An 18264-nucleotide genomic window follows, 5' to 3' on the forward strand; every position below is an offset into this window, starting at 1 on the left:
CATTGATTGCATCATAGAGACCTTAAGAAAATCCAGTGGCAGCCACTGCCCTGAGAACTAGGAAGCGGTTCATAGTATTGATAGGTAGCTTGACTTGGGGGTAACTTGGCTCTGAAGCTCCCTCCCAGAGCTGTGGGTATGCACAAATGATGGTCAGTTTTCATCACTGAAATGGAACTCTCCCAGTAGGCTGAGGGTAAATGAAGTTACCAGCTTCACAGCCACTTATGGCATGCTGAGGAATCATCAGCTATATCTCCATTTGTCTCCTACTTCTGGAATGGATGGATGCTATTCATCTATTCCTTCAACTTTTTTTTTGATACAGAGTCTCGCTCTGTCACACAGGCTGGAGTGCAGCGGCATGATCTTGGCTCACTACAACCTCTGCCTCCCGGGTTCAAGTGATTCTCCTGTCTCAGCCTCCTGAGTAGCTGGATTACAGGGGCATCCCACCACAACTGGCTAATTTTTGTATTTTAGTAGAGACGGGGTTTCGCCATGTTGGTCAGGCTGGTCTCCAACTCCTGACCTCAAGTGATCTGCCCATCTTGGCCTCCCAAAGTGTTGGGATTACAGGTGTGAACCACCGTGTCTGGTCCCTTCAACATGCATTAAACATTTGCTATTGAGCTTTGTATTCCTTTGCTGTGATTACAAAGATTACAGACAGGGTACCTGTCCCAAAGGCACAGGCAAGGTAAATGCTGCAGTAGAGTGAGAGAGGATGACCAGAAGGGGGCAAGAAAATTAGGGTGAGAGTTCATAAAAGTGTTACTGGCTGTGGGGGCAGGGTGGATTTAGCCTGACTTATCCTGACGTTTACAGGAGAAGTGGGAATTGGCCAGATGGAGATGAGAGAGCCAGATGTTTTTAGCAAAAGGAAGAATGTGGCAAAGATTCAGTGGTGTTCAAGCAGGGGTGGCTCCAAGTGTGGCTGAGGAGAGAATAGCTTTAATTGACCCTCCCAAGACTCACGGATCCTGTCCAAGCCACACCCAATAAACATATGACCTCAGAAAAAACTCTGCAAACAGTTTCAAATCAACTCCCTGTCCCTTAATTCTAATCTGAATTTTGGCTCTAAGTGGAAGAAGGTCTGAGGGGGCCACTCTGGAAGTGATTCTTGCATCCTGGAAGTTTGGTATGGAAGGGGGAGAAGGAATGATTAATTTTATGCCACACCAAGTGTCCCCCTCACTGGTGAACTTGATTTCTCCAATGTTTCTTCCTCTCTCGCCTGAAGCTGTTGGTGTGACTAGAGTTAAAGGTGAGATTATAGACAAGATGTAGGCCAGGTGAGGAAGTAAATACTCATTTGGGGTTCTCCCTGGCCAGGTCCACCCTGGGAATTTGCGTTTGCTGATGTCAGGGATCATGTCTACTGTGTTCACTTGTTTCTCCACCACCCACTGGAGTGCCTGCTTATAGGAGGTGACCAGTCATTATTTTTTTGATGAATGAATCCACGGATAAATGAGCAACTGTGGACATGGCAAATAAATACTGTTGTATATATAATTACAGAAAGAATGAATGTTTTGCTCAATGTTACCCATTGAAAATAAATTTAAGTTTGAACAGCAGTTCAATTACATCAAGAATAATTGCCCACTGCTGTATTATGAATGTGATCCAATTCCTGGAGACGTAAGCATATGCATTATCAAAGCATAATTACACCTGACATTAAGTGGTTTCCCTGCAGATTCCTTCGTGACAACAGAAAAGTAAAAGGTCCATGATACAGCAAGAATGACTCGCCTTTTCGTTTCAGAGGGCTGTACCTCACAATTCAAATGTGACATCTGCTTAAAAGATGAAACCAGCCTCCTTCCAAATAAATGACATCTGGTCAGCTCTTCAAGGATGAACATTTTATTGGAATATAGGCACCTGGCAGAGTAAATACATGGTTACAAAGTGTTTTAAGTTTATTTGCTTTATATAGTGACCGGGAAAGTCAATCCACAGTGTCGATTTTTTTTCTTGAAGTTGCAGACTTTAGAAGGCAAACCCTCAAACCCGTCTCTTTATGGTAAAGTGTGAAGGCACATGTTGCCAACTGTTGCACCGACTGATACTATTATTAAGTCAATGATGTCCTTCCCTTCTTCACATCAAAATTGCTATGAATCACATATCACTTAACCTTATTATAATGAACGAAAATCACTTTTGTCTTGGGGAATTGTGAAACCTTTTGAAATCACTAGCTCTGACATAGAAGATTACCAGACTTGAGAATTTTTATAATAAAATATGTAAGGCCAGAAAGCTTTTGGACAAGTTGGAATCTTACCCTGGTAGTCTCCAAAATCTTTTTTTTTTTTTTTTAAAGAAAGTTTACTATGTGTAATGCAAGGCACTTATGTCTCTGCTTAAAGCTACAAGGGAAAAAATGACAAGCCCAGTTTTTTTCAAGGGAAATATTTTTTCTCTGTGAAAGGTCAGTAGTAAAAGAGCTAGTTTAAAGTCATGGAGTTTTTGCCAAAAACCATGTCTCGAGGTTTTATGCATTTCTAATGGCTTTGCCCATAGGAGAGATACCCAGAGTGGCAAACAGAGGCTAAGGAAAAAAATGCTGTTCATTTAGATCAGAATAACCTCGCTCCAATCTGGAAACCACTCAAATGACACATACAAGTCTGTATGAAAAGCAAAACAAACTCATGGTGATATGCAGTTATTCCATTCAACATGTTAAAATGAAGACAGAGTATTTTAAATGCACTCTAGTTTCCTGTTCCATCTTCAAATTAAACAATCATCCTGCTTATTCTAGAAAACTTTTTTTTTTTTTTTGAGACAGGGTCTCATTTTGTTGCCCAAGCTGGAGTGCAGTGGTAAAATCATAGTTCACTGCAGCCTCAACTTCCCTCGCTCAAACAATCCTCCTGCCTCAACCACCCAAGTAGCTAGGACTGCAGGCACACACCATTATTATTTTTTGTAAGGATGAGATCTTGCTATGTTTCCCAGGCTTGTCTAGAACTCCTGGGCTCAAGTGACCCTCTCACCTCAGCCTCCCAAAGTGCTGGGATTATAGGTGTAAGCTACCACATCCAGCCCAAAAACTTGTCTTTAGTGAAATATGTACAGAAAATTCTTTGATTATATTCTGGAGTACATCCTGCCAAATAGTGCCCAGTCCTCCCTGACCTACATGATGGATAAAGTTAGGGCACTGATGTTCATCCATCCAATGCAGTGAAAGGTACTCTCTTTTAGGGTTGAAAAAAATCTCTTAGCTTTCCAGGGGGTGCAAGAAGCCCTGCATTGAGCAAAGAAAGGAAGCTAGGAAGCTCCGGTGTGAGGTCAGCCTGGGCTGGGACTCCACACTACTGTCCCAGGGAGTCGGGCAGCCTTTGTGGGGCTGGGCACTGCCTCTTTGGCTTCCTGCCTTACTGGGCAGTGCATCTGGCCATCTGCCCCTTGGACTTTGGACTTTACTTAAGAGAAAACTCAACAAGGGCAGAAAGCCCAATTCAAAACGTCTTTCTGCCTGACAGCAGGCCCCAAATAGCCCCAGCACAGCAGTGTTCTGGGTGTCCAGTTCCCACATTTCCCGAGCAGCCTGACGCATGCCAGGTCCTATGCACCAGGGATATTAAAGTGACTCAAGGAGGCAGGAAGCCATTATTCAAGGCTGTGGGTTTCTAGCAGGAAGCACAAATGATGACTAAACCCTAGTTTCTGTCTTTTAAGAGAGGAGCCACTTGGAGAGACAAGAAGTAAACCTAATTTCAACACACCATGCTAAATGCCAGGATATGAGTGAGCACTGCAGAAAGCAGAGACTGGGGGAGAAGTGGTCTTTACTTCCTTCACCTGTGGTGGGATCCCTCAAAGACATGAGGATTTAAACACGCCAAGAAAAGTTGCAACAATTAAATATGATATTATACATATACTGAGTATTATTCATGTTTATGACCTAGAAATTCTTCATGGGAGGGCTGAAAAGGGTGATATTTTAATTTCTGGTTAAATGGTTGAACTGTGTGTGAAGCAAATGCTCTAAAGAACTGACATAAATTTACTCGATAGTGATGATCTAAACAAGTTCTCAACAAATATGTTGAGATCTGATGTTAAAATTTGGGGAGGGGCCAGGTAGCTCACGCTGTAATCCCAGCACTTTGGGAAGTCGAGGTGGGTGGATCGCTTGAAATCAGGAGTTTGAGACCAGCCTGGCCAACATGGTGAAAACCCATCTCTACCAAAAATACAAAAATTAGCCGGGAATGGTGCCGCATGGCTGTAATTCCAGCTACTTGGGACGCTGACAGAGGAGAATCTCCTGAACCCAGGAGGCGGAGGTTGCAGTGAGCCGAGATCACACCACTGCACTCCAGCCTTGGCGACAGAGTGAGACTCCATCTCAAAAAAATAGAATAAAATAAAATAAAAAGTCGGGGAGGGAAACCACGATGTAATACTTGGGACTGGAGATTTTAGGAAATGATCTGGTATTTTTCTGAAGGAGAAAAGAACAACTCCTTTTAATCTTTTGGAAGCAAGTCTCTTCCATTTTCAACATTAATGGTTATAGGTCACCATCCGTTAAGAAGATGTGTTTTGTCTATTTCCATTAAAATGTAAGTTCTAGGAGGAAGGAACAAAGTTGTTTTTCGCCATGGTATCCCCAGTGCTTGGTATATAACAGAGACTCAATTAGCTTGCTGAATGACCAAACAAATGATTTCAGCTTTTGATAACATCTTTGGAACTTGAGAGCATACACCTTGGCTTTTGTCTTTATTCATTTATTTATTTATTCATTCATTTTGTGCCCTTCTGGGAATGAACCAGGACTATTTGAATGGAAAGAGAAAAAAAAAAGCTGTCATAGTTTAAAAATTGGCATATGTTCTCTTCCAGATTAAATTCCCTTGGACCTTTTAATTTATGCTAGAACAAGCACTTATCTTTTCTTTTTTTTATTACTAAGCCCAACACAGTGCGTGGCATGCAGTAACTGTTCAAATAATGTTTGTTTAATTGACGGGTTTTAAGCTCGATAACTTAGCTAAGCCCTTTGCACAGTCTAAGCCTAATTTGGAATGCTTTCAGTCTTACCCAGGCCAATAAAATTTTCTTGCCTCATCTGAATTTCCTGCAAATGTGATTAATTAATAAGAATCATCAAGATTAATTAATAAGAAATTGATAGCAGGATGAGTAACAGGCCCAGACAGTCCCACAGATCACACCTTCCACCCTCCATTTCCGCTTAGCTTCTCTTGAATCTATTGGGCATGATTGCCTCTGTGGGGGCTACAGCCAGCACGGGTGACTGTTCATGACCTACCCTCTCTTGCAGTCTGACTGTGGACAAATGCCGAGTCCTTAAGAGATGGTGAAGTAGGCATAGTAGATAGTAAAGGTAGACTTACAGTATACATTTGCATTCTCAAACAAAATTAAAAAGCCTTAAAGTGCACAAGAAGATTGCACAATTGAAAAGTGCAGAGTATACTCAAAACTGTCATCCTACTGTTTTCTCAGTCTTCCCTGCAATACTATTCCCTCCTCAGACATCCTCAGCTCCCTCTCACCCCAAGTATGCCATTGTCTTTGTAATTCTTATTAAAATACTAAAGCAAAAATTCATCGTAGAACAATTCATGTCCACAAAGGTTTGCCTCAGTTGCTCATGCCCTGTATGCATTTCCTCTGGTTTTATTATTCAAATTAAGAAAATACTTAAAAATTTTTTGGTAACAGCTTGCATGCAACCCCTAAGTGTACCCCTATAACCCTTTGGCTTTTTTCAGAGAAAGACTTCAGCCAAATTGTCCCTTTCACTCCTCTGAGGGCAGCTCTGGGAAACTCTCCTGACCACCTTCTCCCTCCTTCACGTCATCTTTGTGTGACAGCAGGACATCCGGGTTTGGAGCATCCTCCACCACCCACTGACACTCATGAATACGGGCTACCTTGATCTCCTCTGCATTCACACTGGCCGTGGCCTGGGCCGCGCTGCTTTGCCCTCCCATCTCTTCTTGTTCCTCAGAAACCTGGCTCTCACTGAGGCAGATGGGGTCAGAACCTAAGGTGCAGCCCTCTTGCTGTGAGGCATCCCCTTCCTCGGTACACTTGCCCCCTCTTCCTTCATGGGCAGTGAGTGTGCAGGCCTCTCCTGGGAGCTCCCCCTCCATGGGCCCCAGGGGCTCCTCGGTGAGCCCTCCACTGGCTGGCGGAGAGGCTGGGCTGCCTACCTCTGGAAATCCCCCCAACTCCTCCCCATGGGCCTCGGGACAGGGAGGTTGGGCCTCCCTCTCGCTGACTTCACTTTCTTCACAGTTGTCGGGGTGGATGGCAGCTGCCTGACTGGGCTCTTTTTCCTCTTCTTCTTCATTTTCTTGGGGAACGTGGCTCTCCCCATTCGTATCTTCTTCCATCACTGGAGCAGAGTCCACTGGTACTTCCACGGACGCTGTCAGCAACTTTCTGAGCGCCTTCAAAGAACCCGAGGCAGTGATGGGTTCTGGCTCTTCCTGGGCGGGTTCTTCATCCTCAAGGGTCCCTCCAAACTCCAGCTCTGATGAGCATGTGCCCGGGAGTCCTGCTGTGTCCTCTGTTGCCACAGGATTCACCACGGGGTCATCCACTCTTGAAATAATCACCTGCTCAGTCCCATCTGGGGGTGGGCTTGGCCCAGGGAGAGAAAGGCTTTCTCCTTTGGCCAACGAGCTAGGGACCTCAGGCTGCTTCTCTTCCTCTGACTCCTGGAATACTTCGTTACTGAGGGTCTCACTACCCAGAACTCCTGGCAGAATGGCAGAAGCTCTCCTGGCAGGGCTGGCCTGGTTTGACCCTGTGGGGGGCTTTAGATCTGTTAAGCTGGACACACTTTCACTGGGCAAGGCCATGTTATCTTCAAATAAGTTGTGTTTCTTCAAGATAGCAGCTTCCTTTATCACTGAGAGATATCAGAAAACAAAACATGATTTTCTGATTTTATTGAGAAGCCAAAGTCCCCTTTCAGCCTCTCTGGCTATCCAAATTTCTCCATTTCAAGACCCAGCTTACATCCAGGGAGCCTTCCCTGATGACCAAAGTCTATAAACTCTTTCCAAACTCTGAGCCTCTGTAGCATTCATTCATTCATTTATTCAAACAGCAAACATTTGCAGGACATTTAACATGGGACAGGCCCTGGGAATCCAGAGATGAATAAACTATAGCCTTTGTTTTCAAGACACTCAGGGTCTGCAGTAGTGTCACCTGTATCCCTCAGGGAGGCCCCAGCACATTTTATTAGCTGCTAAGATGGGTGGCTCCAGTTTGTCCACCTGGACTGAAATCCTCTAGGGCAGGGCCAGGCCTTACACTTATCTGCTTTACCTTGCAGTACAGTCCTGAATGTGTAATAGGTACTCGGTACTGCACATGCAGAGGAGAGGGCCAAAATGAAGATCCATGTGCATCTAGCTCAGTTTCAAAGGCCTCCAGAGGGGCAAATCCAATAACAACAACAACAACAGCAGGTGACATTTTTGACCACAGGCCTCCTACTTATGGCTGTGCAGGGGCTGTAGTGCCCAAAAATATCACATCTCAGGGGTGCCATTCATATCAAAGACAGAACAGATTTGTGTATTCGGCATAACTTTTCAGCATCTAGCTGCAGAGTTTCCTTCTCTAACAAAATCAATATATTGTGACAATTTTCTAACAGACAGCAATAAAGTGTCTGGAGGAAAGGAGTCTTTTTCTAAATCACCCAAAAGTGCCCATGGTGGGCTGGCAGTGGCCTTGACCGAGCCCTTCCTTTGTGTAGACACTGTGCTGACATCTTCATATTGCTGGTCTCACTGGATTCCCTAGAATTAGCTACTAGGACCTTGGGCTTGTCCTTGGCCAGTTTTCATTGAGGAAGGTCTTTTGTGATACTCAAGACCTTCCAAAAGGAGACCAGATATGTTTCAGGTCCACAGTTTGATGGTGGCCTTCTCCAGCTTTTTTTTTTTTTTTTTTTTGAGACCGAGTCTCACTCTGTCACCCAGGCTGGAGTGCAATGGCACAATCTTGGCTCACTGGAACCTCTGCCTCCTGGATTCAAGCGATTCTCCTACCTCACCTTCTGGAGTAGCTGGGATTACAGGTGTACACCACCATGCCCAGCTAATTTTTTAATATTTTTAGTAGAGATGGAGTTTCACCATGTTGGCCAGGCTGGTCTTGAACTCCTGACCTCAAGTGATCTGCCCATCTTGGTCTCCCAAAGTGCTGGGATTACAGGTGTGACCCACTGTGCCCAGCCCTCTCCAGCATATTTTAAACAAAGTTTTCCTATCCACAATCCAATCCCAGGCAAGGCATGATTCCTGAGGATACTGGATGCCGGAGTCCCACCGAGACTTGCGTGGCACTGCATCATCACCCTGCACCTTTTTCTGTCTGGCTGAGTGGAGTCTGGGAATGTGTTGAGAGAGCCATTAATAAGCCTTGCTGCTGGAATTGCCTCTTCTCAGCTTTGGTGGGTGGGGGGCAGGGGCAGTTACAAGCCTGTGCCTAAGAAAAGCCCTTTTCCCTTTGTTCTGTCTGGAATAGCAAGAGGAAGACAGCTCTTCATGAGAGACCCGAGATTTAATCTCACTAAGCCTCAACTTTCTCATCTGTAAAATGAAACTTAAAATTCCCATCTCACAGCATTCATATTTGTGTATTAAAAAGGGAAAATAACATCTAAAGTGCCAGCTTTGTGTGTGCTTAATCATAACACTCAATCAAGGTTAGTATCCTTCCTTCTTTCCTTCCCTCTCCTCACTGTCTGTCTCCCTCCCTCACCAATGTCCATTTCCTCTTCTCTTTTCCTCCCTGACTGGCCTTACAGAGTCCTATTTCAGGGATGCTCCCCTCTATGGAGTGTCCCTGCAGCACCAGGTAACCTTTCTTACCTTTCAGAGTTTCATCAAGCAGGATCTGATGTAAAATCTCCTCATAGACATTTTCAACGTGAATCATATTGGTATGATCTGCAAAGATGAACTGCTCGTATTTCTGAAGCTCCTGGAGAGCAAGAGATTAGAAGATAAAGATGAAAAGGCATGAGATGCCTGTTCTTAGAGGAGATACAGAAAGGACGATTCCCACTCATGATTCTCTTCTTGGAGGGCATAAGAGAAGGACCATGTTGGCCCAGGGGCAAATTACTCAATTCAATAATATTTTATTGGGTTCCCTTCAATTCAATTCACTGTCTAGGCACCATGCCTGACCTCGACACATCTATTACTGTCCATGATAAGGTGTGGAACTCACTCAGCCATTGGTGGTTCCTTTCCCTTTCCTTGTACTGGCCACGCATTTTATGCACTTCATGGGAGAAGACAGCAGTGATTTTTTTTTATCATCTCAAGGCCTCATTAGCAGGTTTGGAGCCTCCTTTTTTCCCCTCATCACCAAGATGTTTCCTTCTTTCTTTTTTGTTTAATCACAATAGCACTTTACCAAGGTAAGTTATATATAGTAAAATGTACAGATAAGTTCAGCTCAATGATTTTAAATATGTAAATATACTTATGTAACCATAACCCAGATCAAGGAGAACATTTCCATCACCCCCAAAGTTCCCCCACCCCACTTTCCAGTCTGCACCTCCCAAGATATGAGCACTGATTTTATACCTATCATGATAGTTTTTGCTTGTTCTTGAACTTTATAGAAATGAAATCATAATTATTTTGCATTTGTTTTTGAGATTCATCCATGTTGCTGCATCTATCAGTAGCTCATTCCTTTTTATTGTTAAGTAGTATTCATTATATGGATAAACAAAAATTGTTTATCTGCACTCAGGTTGATAAAAATTGAGATTTTTTTTCAATTTTCAACCATAAATATAATTTTTGTTTTATTTTATTTTTTATTATTATTATACTTTAAGTTTTAGGGTACATGTGCACAATGTGCAGGTTAGTTACATATGTATACATGTGCCATGCTGGTGCGCTGCACCCACTTACTCGTCATCTAGCATTAGGTATATCTCCCAGTGCTATCCCTCCCCTCTCCCCCCACCCCACAACAGTCCCCAGAGTGTGATGTTCCCCTTCCTGTGTCCATGTGTTCTCATTGTTCAATTCCCACCTATGAGTGAGAATATGCGGTGTTTGGTTTTTTGTTCTTGCGATAGTTTACTGAGAATGATGATTTCCAATTTCATCCATGTCCCTACAAAGGACATGAACTCATCATTTTTTATGGCTACATAGTATTCCATGGTGTATATGTGCCACATTTTCTTAATCCAGTCTATCATTGTTGGACATTTGGGTTGGTTCCAAGACTTTGCTATTGTGAATAGTGCCACAATAAACATATGTGTGCATGTGTCTTTATAGCAGCATGATTTATAGTCCTTTGGGTATATACCCAGTAATGGGATGGCTGGGTCAAATGGTATTTCTAGTTCTAGATCCCTGAGGAATCGCCACACTGACTTCCACAATGGTTGAACTAGTTTACAGTCCCACCAACAAAGTAAAAGTGTTCCTATTTCTCCACATCCTCTCCAGCACCTGTTGTTTCCTGACTTTTTAATGATTGCCATTCTTTTTTTTTTTTTTTTTTTTTTTTTTTTGAGACGGAGTCTCGCTCTGTCGCCCAGGCTGGAGTGCAGTGGCGCGATCTAGGCTCACTGCAAGCTCCGCCTCCCGGGTTCAAGCCATTCTCCTGCCTCAGCCTCCCGAGTAGCTGGGACTACAGGCGCCCGCTACCACGCCCAGCTAATTTTTTGTATTTTTAGTAGAGACGGGGTTTCACCGTGTTAGCCAGGATGGTCTCGATCTCCTGACCTCGTGATCCGCCCGCCTCGGCCTCCCAAAGTGCTGGGATTACAGGCGTGAGCCACCGCGCCCGGCCATGATTGCCATTCTAACTGGTGTGAGATGGTATCTCATTGTGGTTTTGATTTGCATTTCTCTGATGGCCAGTGATGGTGAGCATTTTTTCATGTGTTTTTTGGCTGCATAAATGTCTTCTTTTGAGAAGTGTCTGCTCATGTCCTTTGCCCACTTTTTGATGGGGTTGTTTGTTTTTTTCTTGTAAATTTGTTTGAGTTCATTGTAGATTCTGGATATTAGCCCTTTGTCAGATGAGTAGGTTGTGAAAATTTTCTCCCATTTTGTGGGTTGCCTGTTCACTCTGATGGTAGTTTCTTTTGCTGTGCAGAAGCTCTTTAGTTTAATTAGATCCCATTTGTCAATTTTGGCTTTTGTTGCCATTGCTTTTGGCGTTTTAGACATGAAGTCCTTGCCCATGCCTATGTCCTGAATGGTAATGCCTAGGTTTTCTTCTAGGGTTTTTATGGTTTTAGGTCTAACATTTAAGTCTTTAATCCATCTTGAATTGATTTTTGTATAAGGTGTAAGGAAGGGATCCAGTTTCAGCTTTCTACATATGGCTAGCCAGTTTTCCCAGCACCATTTATTAAATAGGGAATCCTTTCCCCATTGCTTGTTTTTCTCAGGTTTGTCAAAGATCAGATAGTTGTAGATATATGGCGCAACTATATCTACGCCATATAATAATCATAAATATAACTGCTGTGAACATTCTTGTACATATGTTTTTGTGGATTTAAGGGCTTGTTTATGTTGGGCATATACCTAAAAGTGAAGTTGTTGGGTCATAGGGTAGATGTATGCTTAACTTTATCAGAATGGGGCCACTTTGGGGGTTGGGAGACTCTGTAGTCAAGGGCTCTTCAGAAACATTCTCTTTCTCTTCAGCTGGCCCTGACATTCATTGATTCCTTCTAGGATAGCTCAGGCATGGTGCATCCCTTAACTCTCTCTCCTTTCCAAGGGTTTCCAAATGGCTTGCCTTTTATCGGCATGAGGACAGGGCAGGGATCAAAATGTACCAAATCATATCCCATGATTAACTCAGTAATCCTTGCACCTGGTGGTGCTGGGGGAAGGCTTCCCACATGTGGCTCTTAGAGAATCAGGGACTTAGCCATGGGATTTGCGGTCTCTTGCCTGGAAGGACAGTATTTACAGCAGGTGATCAGAAGCACCACCTCAGACAACTCTCAGTGCTGGGACTTTGGGGCACTGTAGCCCAGATCACAGCGGGTAATAATGGGTTCCTTTATACCCAACCAAGAAGAAAGGCAAAGGATTGAAGAGACATGAGCTTCAAAGACCCCTAGAGGGTCTAGAGGCAGGACTGTTGCACAGATTTGAGAAAAGCATTGCCCAGGAGACTGGAGACTGCCCTGGACTAGACATGGGACCTTGGTGAGCCATATCACTGCTCTGTGCCTCTGTCTCTTCCTCTGCTAAATGAGAGGCACAGATTCATGCCTGCAACACCCTTTCATCCTTCCCACGTGGTCCCCCATTCCTATTCCCCTGATTGGCATTCATCCCTCAGGACTGGGTGAAAGCATGACTCTGGAAGTCCTTCCTGGCTGTATAAGCAGAGTTTGGCACTTTCCTTGGAACTCTTCCCCATGAGGCAACTGCTGTGTTCCTCACATGGCATCCTGTTTGCCTGTCTCCTGCTCTCTACTGTGAACTCCAGGACTTCAGGGATGCTGGGCTGGCACAATGCCTGGATCACATGTGATACAAATCTAATACATATTTGCTGACTCAATAAACAGTAGACCTTTAAATTTTCAACCAGCTAAATAATTCTGTGGGAAGGAGTACTTTCTATGGACATATATACTGTCATGAAGTGACCAACTTTACAAAACAGGTGTTTTATATTGAATTGATTGAACAGGGCCATAGGTTTACTTCCCTGGGCCAATTAATTTGGTATCTCTGAAGGTAGGTGTTGGGGAGTCAGAATCATTTTTTTCACAGTTCCCCAGACAATTCTAATACACAGCTTGGGCTGAGGCTGAGTACCACAGATCTAGGAAGCTGCTACTTATAGAACCAAGGGAAATGCACTTTAGCAAAATAAAGACTCCTTCTAGGAAGCAGATAATCCCCTCATTCATCTATTCTGCAAATCCAGATTTTTAAAAAGCTCTTGATGCTGATATAATATCCTCCATTACCAAAACCTCTGGGTCACAGGCTCTTTTGAAATCAATGCCTCCTGATTAAAAAATTACAAGAGCCTCTTACAGATTGGGCACAGCACACTATGTTGATGCTTGGAAAGAGGGGAGCCGATGAGAAGGAGAACTCTCCTTACCTTTCTCCTGAGAGAAGGTGGATCTGAGGCCCCCAAACTGCCTTTGTGATTGAAAAAAAAAATCCTAAGCAGAACATCTGTGTGCAAACCCACCTAGCAGTGGACACCATCATCATTTGGCTGCTGAACTGTTCTGCCATGTAAGGCCAAAGGTCAATCCCTTGGCTTAATCAAATCCTTTCCTATGAAAGAAATATGCCCCACAAATAAATGCCAAATATATCTAATACGCTATGAGGATGTGAAGGAAAACAGCACTTACAGACTATAAAAATGACCAATGACATGTTGCAGTAAAATAACTTATGCAAAGGATTTTAACGTTCCAGTGCTTGGAGACTCTCCGAGCTGCCAAAAAGCCCTTTTTTAAATTCCAAAAACCTCTTTATCATTTGCTCCAAAACGGAGCAGGCCTTGCTTCAGGTTAATAGATTATTTTTGAAATGTAGAAGTAGTAATAATAATAGTGGTAGTAGTACTTGATACCATTTTCTGAGTGCCTATCATGTTTTAGGTAAGCAAGAACTGGGTTCACACTCTGGTGGTCACCAGGTCTGTGGCCTCGGCTCAGTGGCTTAACCACTCAGGTTTCCTCATTTGTACCATGAGGATATAAATAATACCTCCTCCCAGAGCTGTTTTCAGTCTCTGCTGGCCCATTGCTCTGCTCTACAGATGAAGTCACACCCTCGCAATCATGGTTCTCACTGGATGCTCAATGTTTGTAGAGGTTTTAAGTGGTTTCATTGATTTCATTAAACAACATTGCTGGATTTAACAGAACAAATATCCTGTAATTATGTTAGCTAATATCTTTTTTGGATACAGTGGTCAAGTTTCAGAGGACACGTTGGACCTATGAGTCATACTATAATGAGAAACACCTGGTATCCTTAGGTATTCTATGTCAACCCCTAGTTTGGCTCAAATTCAGATCACTGCCCTTTGAGATTTTGTCTAGTCCAGGGGTCAGCATATCTGGCTAGCATCTTGTTTTTGCAAATAAAGTCTGTTTATATATAGTCAATGGCTGTTTGTGTGCTACAACAGCAGAGCTGAATAGTTGCAACAGAAATAGTGCAGTCCATGAAGCTTAAAATATTTACTATCTGACCATTTACAAAAATGTCTGCCAATCCCTCCCTGGTCTAGTCTGCTGTTTGCCAGTACACATCACAAAAGAACTTGTTTGAACTTCAGAGGTAAGAAGAGCAAGCTCTTTAGGGTAACTCATCCCCTTACTGGTTTGCATGTGGACGCCAGTGCCTTCTGCACAGTGGGAAGTGTGATTTGAACTAGTGCCTCTTGAAATATCTTCTTTCGGATGGTGCTGCTGTCATAATCATATTGCTGTCAATAAAGAAACATATGTTAAATAGTAACATTACAATCTGTTGACTTATGTTTACTCAAAAAACTCAGCCACCCACTTCACCTCTCTTTTCCTCCTAATGTCTGAGAACTCTTGTATTTCCAAGGCCTCAGAGATCTTTCCATGTAATTCCCTCACACTGCAGGCACAGGTTATAACTGATAATGACCCATCTCACTCTTACCTTTTACAGGTATGGAAACTGAGGCAAGATCAAAACAGAATGGTGAGTTCTGCATTATAAAGAAGTTGGGGATAGAACTGGGGGGTGAGTTTGTATTTTATTACTCCTGTCCCAGGTAGGTCCATGGAAACCATGATCATCTATTACTCCACATCTTCAAACCAGGGTCAGTGGGTTGTAATGATTTGAACAAGGGAAGAGAAGGCCTGGCTAGTGGCTCCATTAACACTGTGACATGTTAACCAAAGAAGTTCAGTATCCAGAACAAGAAAGATGACGATTCTGTCTGTTCTGCATTGGACATCCCAACATGGAGACCAGGATTTAATTGTGGATCTCACTTCAAGGGGATCACAGATAAATAAGAGTATAGTCATAGGCAGCGAGAAGAATGGTCAGGCCAAGTGAAGAATAGTTAAAGAGATGAAGGTGTTTATACTGGAGATAATAAGTTAGGGCAAGTTATAACTCTATTCAAACAACCAAAGGCTGCCACGTGGAAGAAGGTTATGAATGAAGGGGGTAGAACTGGAATAACCAGTGGTGAGAACTTTGGCCTAACATGAGAAAGCATGTTCTTGCTGTCAAGAACTAAAATGGGCTATCCTGAGAGGTAGAAAGTATCCTGCCAGTGCAGGTGTCGGAGCACTAGTGGGACCACCCCTTGAGGGAACCTGCTGAACACTGAATATGAAGTTGAACTAAAGGCACTCAAAATCTCTTTGAAACCTGAGGTCCTAATATTTCAACACCTTTCTACATTTTTTCTTCCTTTCTTTCTGTACGCTAAAGCATTTGACACTGACACTATCTTTTTTTTTTTAGTTGCATTGCAATTTCATCATTATGTGTGTTATCATGAGCAATATTGGTGTTTTTTTTTTTGTTTTTTTGTTTTTTGTTTTTTGAGATAGAGTCTCACTCTGCCACCCAGAGCTGGAGTATAGTGGCACAATCTCCGCTCACTGCAAGCTCCACCTCCCAGGTTCACGCCATTCTCCTGTCTCAGCCTCCCGAGTAGCTAGGACTACAGGTGCCCACCACCACACCCGGCTAGTTTTTTGTATTTTTAGTAGAGACGGGGTTTCACCGTGTTAGCCAGGATGGTCTCGATCTCCTGACCTCGTGATCTGCCCGCCTCGGCCTCCCAAAGTGCTGGGATTACAGGCGTGAGCCACTGTGCCCGGCCCCAATATTGTTTTTAATATCAATGATTTAGTTGCTAGAGTTTCCTCTTGCCTGTGAGGCATCAAGATCAAGTCTGAAATTCAGAGACCACCCCTAGGCTCTGTGGGACTTTGATCTTCTGTTCCAAGGCAATGTTTAGGGGAACTAGAAGGCAGTAAAAAAAATTAGTGGACTAGGTGTATGATCGTTTATCCTTAAGCTCACCATTGATCAGCCTGTTGAGCTTAATTAAGTCACATTAGCTTTTACAGAATCAGTTCCTCATCTGTACAATGGGGGAATATTCTAGTTAATGCACAAGTTCTTGTGGGGATCAGGTAAGAGGCTTTAAAATATAACATATATGTGAAAGCTCCTATTATTAAAACTATTTTAATAAACACTCTGAAGTACATTTAAAACAATTTCATATGGTAGATTTCTTTTCTTTGGAGTATTTCCTTTGCCATGAGGTTCTGATTTTTCAAAATCAATAAATTATTCGCCAGTTTAATGGATTTTACTATATTGTAACCTCTTTGAAGAAAGAGGCTGTGCCTTGCCTACTTTTACATCCCATGCAGTGCTTATAGTGGACAGCTAATACGTGTTTGTCGAGTTGGATCTCTATGAAGGCTGGGACGCGGGGCCTGTAGCTGTGGGTAATGATGCTGAGGACCAGCAGTGGCCGCTAGATGGCAGAAGAGGCATGGAAGTCACACTGGAGAAACTGCAGCGGACTGACAGTCACTGGACTTGGGAGAGAAAGGAGTGGGGAAAGATTAGAGCCAAGGAGAGAACTTGGTATTTTCCACTTTACAAAAGAAACAGGGGTCACGTTCTCTTTTTATGCTTCCCACAAACAAGAGAACGGTTTTACCTTTAAGACTCGGAGTTTAACCTTCTCAATGGCAACTGCAGTTTTGGAGGCCTCTCCTTGGAGATGTGGGGAAAGCAACTGCTCAAAAGTGAACACTGCATTCTCCATTAGCTAGAAACCAGAAGCGACACAGAAACAGACAACAGTCAGGGGCTGGGATCACCACCCACAGGCCTGGCTAAGTGGGACTGCAGAGTAGGGGCCATCAGAGATGAGTCCCCTCGGCTGCTATTCGGTGGGGGTACCCAAGGCAACATCACCCCATCACCAGGGCTGTGAAACAAATGGTCACGTGGTCACAGTGGGAGCAGGAAGAAGTTGGAAAACCCAAGGCCATGGGACTGAGCAAGCATTCTGTCATCTCCCGTGGGCACTCCTATTCTTTGATACCTGCAGCCACTGATTAAGGGATGAGGCTGGAGCCTTCTTCAACTAGTTTTTGGTGGCACCTCCACTTTAAGTAGATGTAAACCGCTCCACAGCTTATCTCTCCCTCTCTCTGCAGGGCTGGGAAGAGAGGCAGGGTCAGGGATGGGTGGGGACAGTGGCTGACATGTTCATGGGTCAGAAAGCAGAAGTAGTTCAGGTATCTTATTCTCTGCACCTTTGCCTGTGTTCCCGTCACCAGGGTCCAGTATTACGAAAGAGACTTCTGCTAAACTGTTGCCCAATTTTGTTCCTCGTTCCTCTTTCATCCCTCACAACTCAAGGGTTAGTTAGCTAAAATGTATCACTTAATCCTGCCCATAACCTTTATGAAAAAAAAAGTTCTCCTTTCTTCCCCAAGCCCGTGGTCCCAAAGCATCCAATATATACCTTTTTTTTTTTTTTTTTTTTTGAGACACGGTTTCACTTTGTCATCCAGGCTGGAGTAGTGCAGTGGCACACTCTTGGTTCACTGCAACCTCTGCCTCCAGGGTTCAAGCGAGTCTCGTGCTTCAGCCTCCAAGTAGCTGGGACTACAGGTGTGCACCACCATGCCCAGCTAATTTTTTTGTATTTTTAGTAGAGATGGGGTTTCACCATGTTGGCCAGGCTGGTCTTAAACTCCTGACTTCAAGTGATCCACCCGCCTCGGTCTCCCAAAATGCTGGGATTACAGGCGTGAGCCACTGTGCCTGGCCACAATATATACCTTTATCATACCTTCAACATTGTAGTGAATTTATCTAAGAATTTGTCTCACTCAAGCTCCCTGAAGTGGGATCTGGTACAGTGTCCGGCCCACAGTAATCTCTCCTCAGAATATCTGTGTGAAATGGCATGGTGTCCTTTAGAGCTTTGGTGACCGTACCCCTTATTCATTTAGGAAACACTATAATACGGAAGGAGTTTGTGCTATTCATTCCTGTTACTGGGGAAAAGGTTCCTTATGAAAAAAAAAAAAAAGAAACCTGTCAAGTAGACTCAAGAAATTCAAATATGAAGCTGTGATTGATTGATTGGTTTACTCTTAATTACGTTAGGGAATTAATTTAAGCCAGTGGC

At 43.6% G+C, this 18264-nt stretch overlaps 1 protein-coding gene across 6 annotated transcripts in view; it reads right to left on the bottom strand.

Annotated features, from left to right (window-relative positions):
* NIBAN1 (niban apoptosis regulator 1) overlaps positions 1863 to 18264 on the bottom strand; it is a 183477-nt gene continuing 167075 nt past the window's right edge. For 4 of the 6 annotated variants that reach the window (XM_047444098.1, NM_052966.4, XM_047444094.1 and 1 more), the window contains 4 exons: positions 16777 to 16887; positions 14416 to 14523; positions 8910 to 9021; positions 1863 to 6928 (listed from right to left, as the gene is read on the bottom strand). In XM_047444098.1, coding sequence (XP_047300054.1) covers positions 5808 to 6928; positions 8910 to 9021; positions 14416 to 14523; positions 16777 to 16887 — 1452 coding nt within the window. In that variant the 3' untranslated portion in view covers positions 1863 to 5807. The remainder of the gene's footprint in view (positions 6929 to 8909; positions 9022 to 14415; positions 14524 to 16776; positions 16888 to 18264) is intronic. The other 2 variants (XM_047444102.1, XM_047444093.1) reach the window with 1 other exon arrangement.

The sequence above is a fragment of the Homo sapiens genome, chromosome 1, assembly GCF_000001405.40.
Source record: "Homo sapiens chromosome 1, GRCh38.p14 Primary Assembly".
In the NCBI taxonomy this organism is placed as follows: Eukaryota; Metazoa; Chordata; class Mammalia; order Primates; family Hominidae; genus Homo; species Homo sapiens.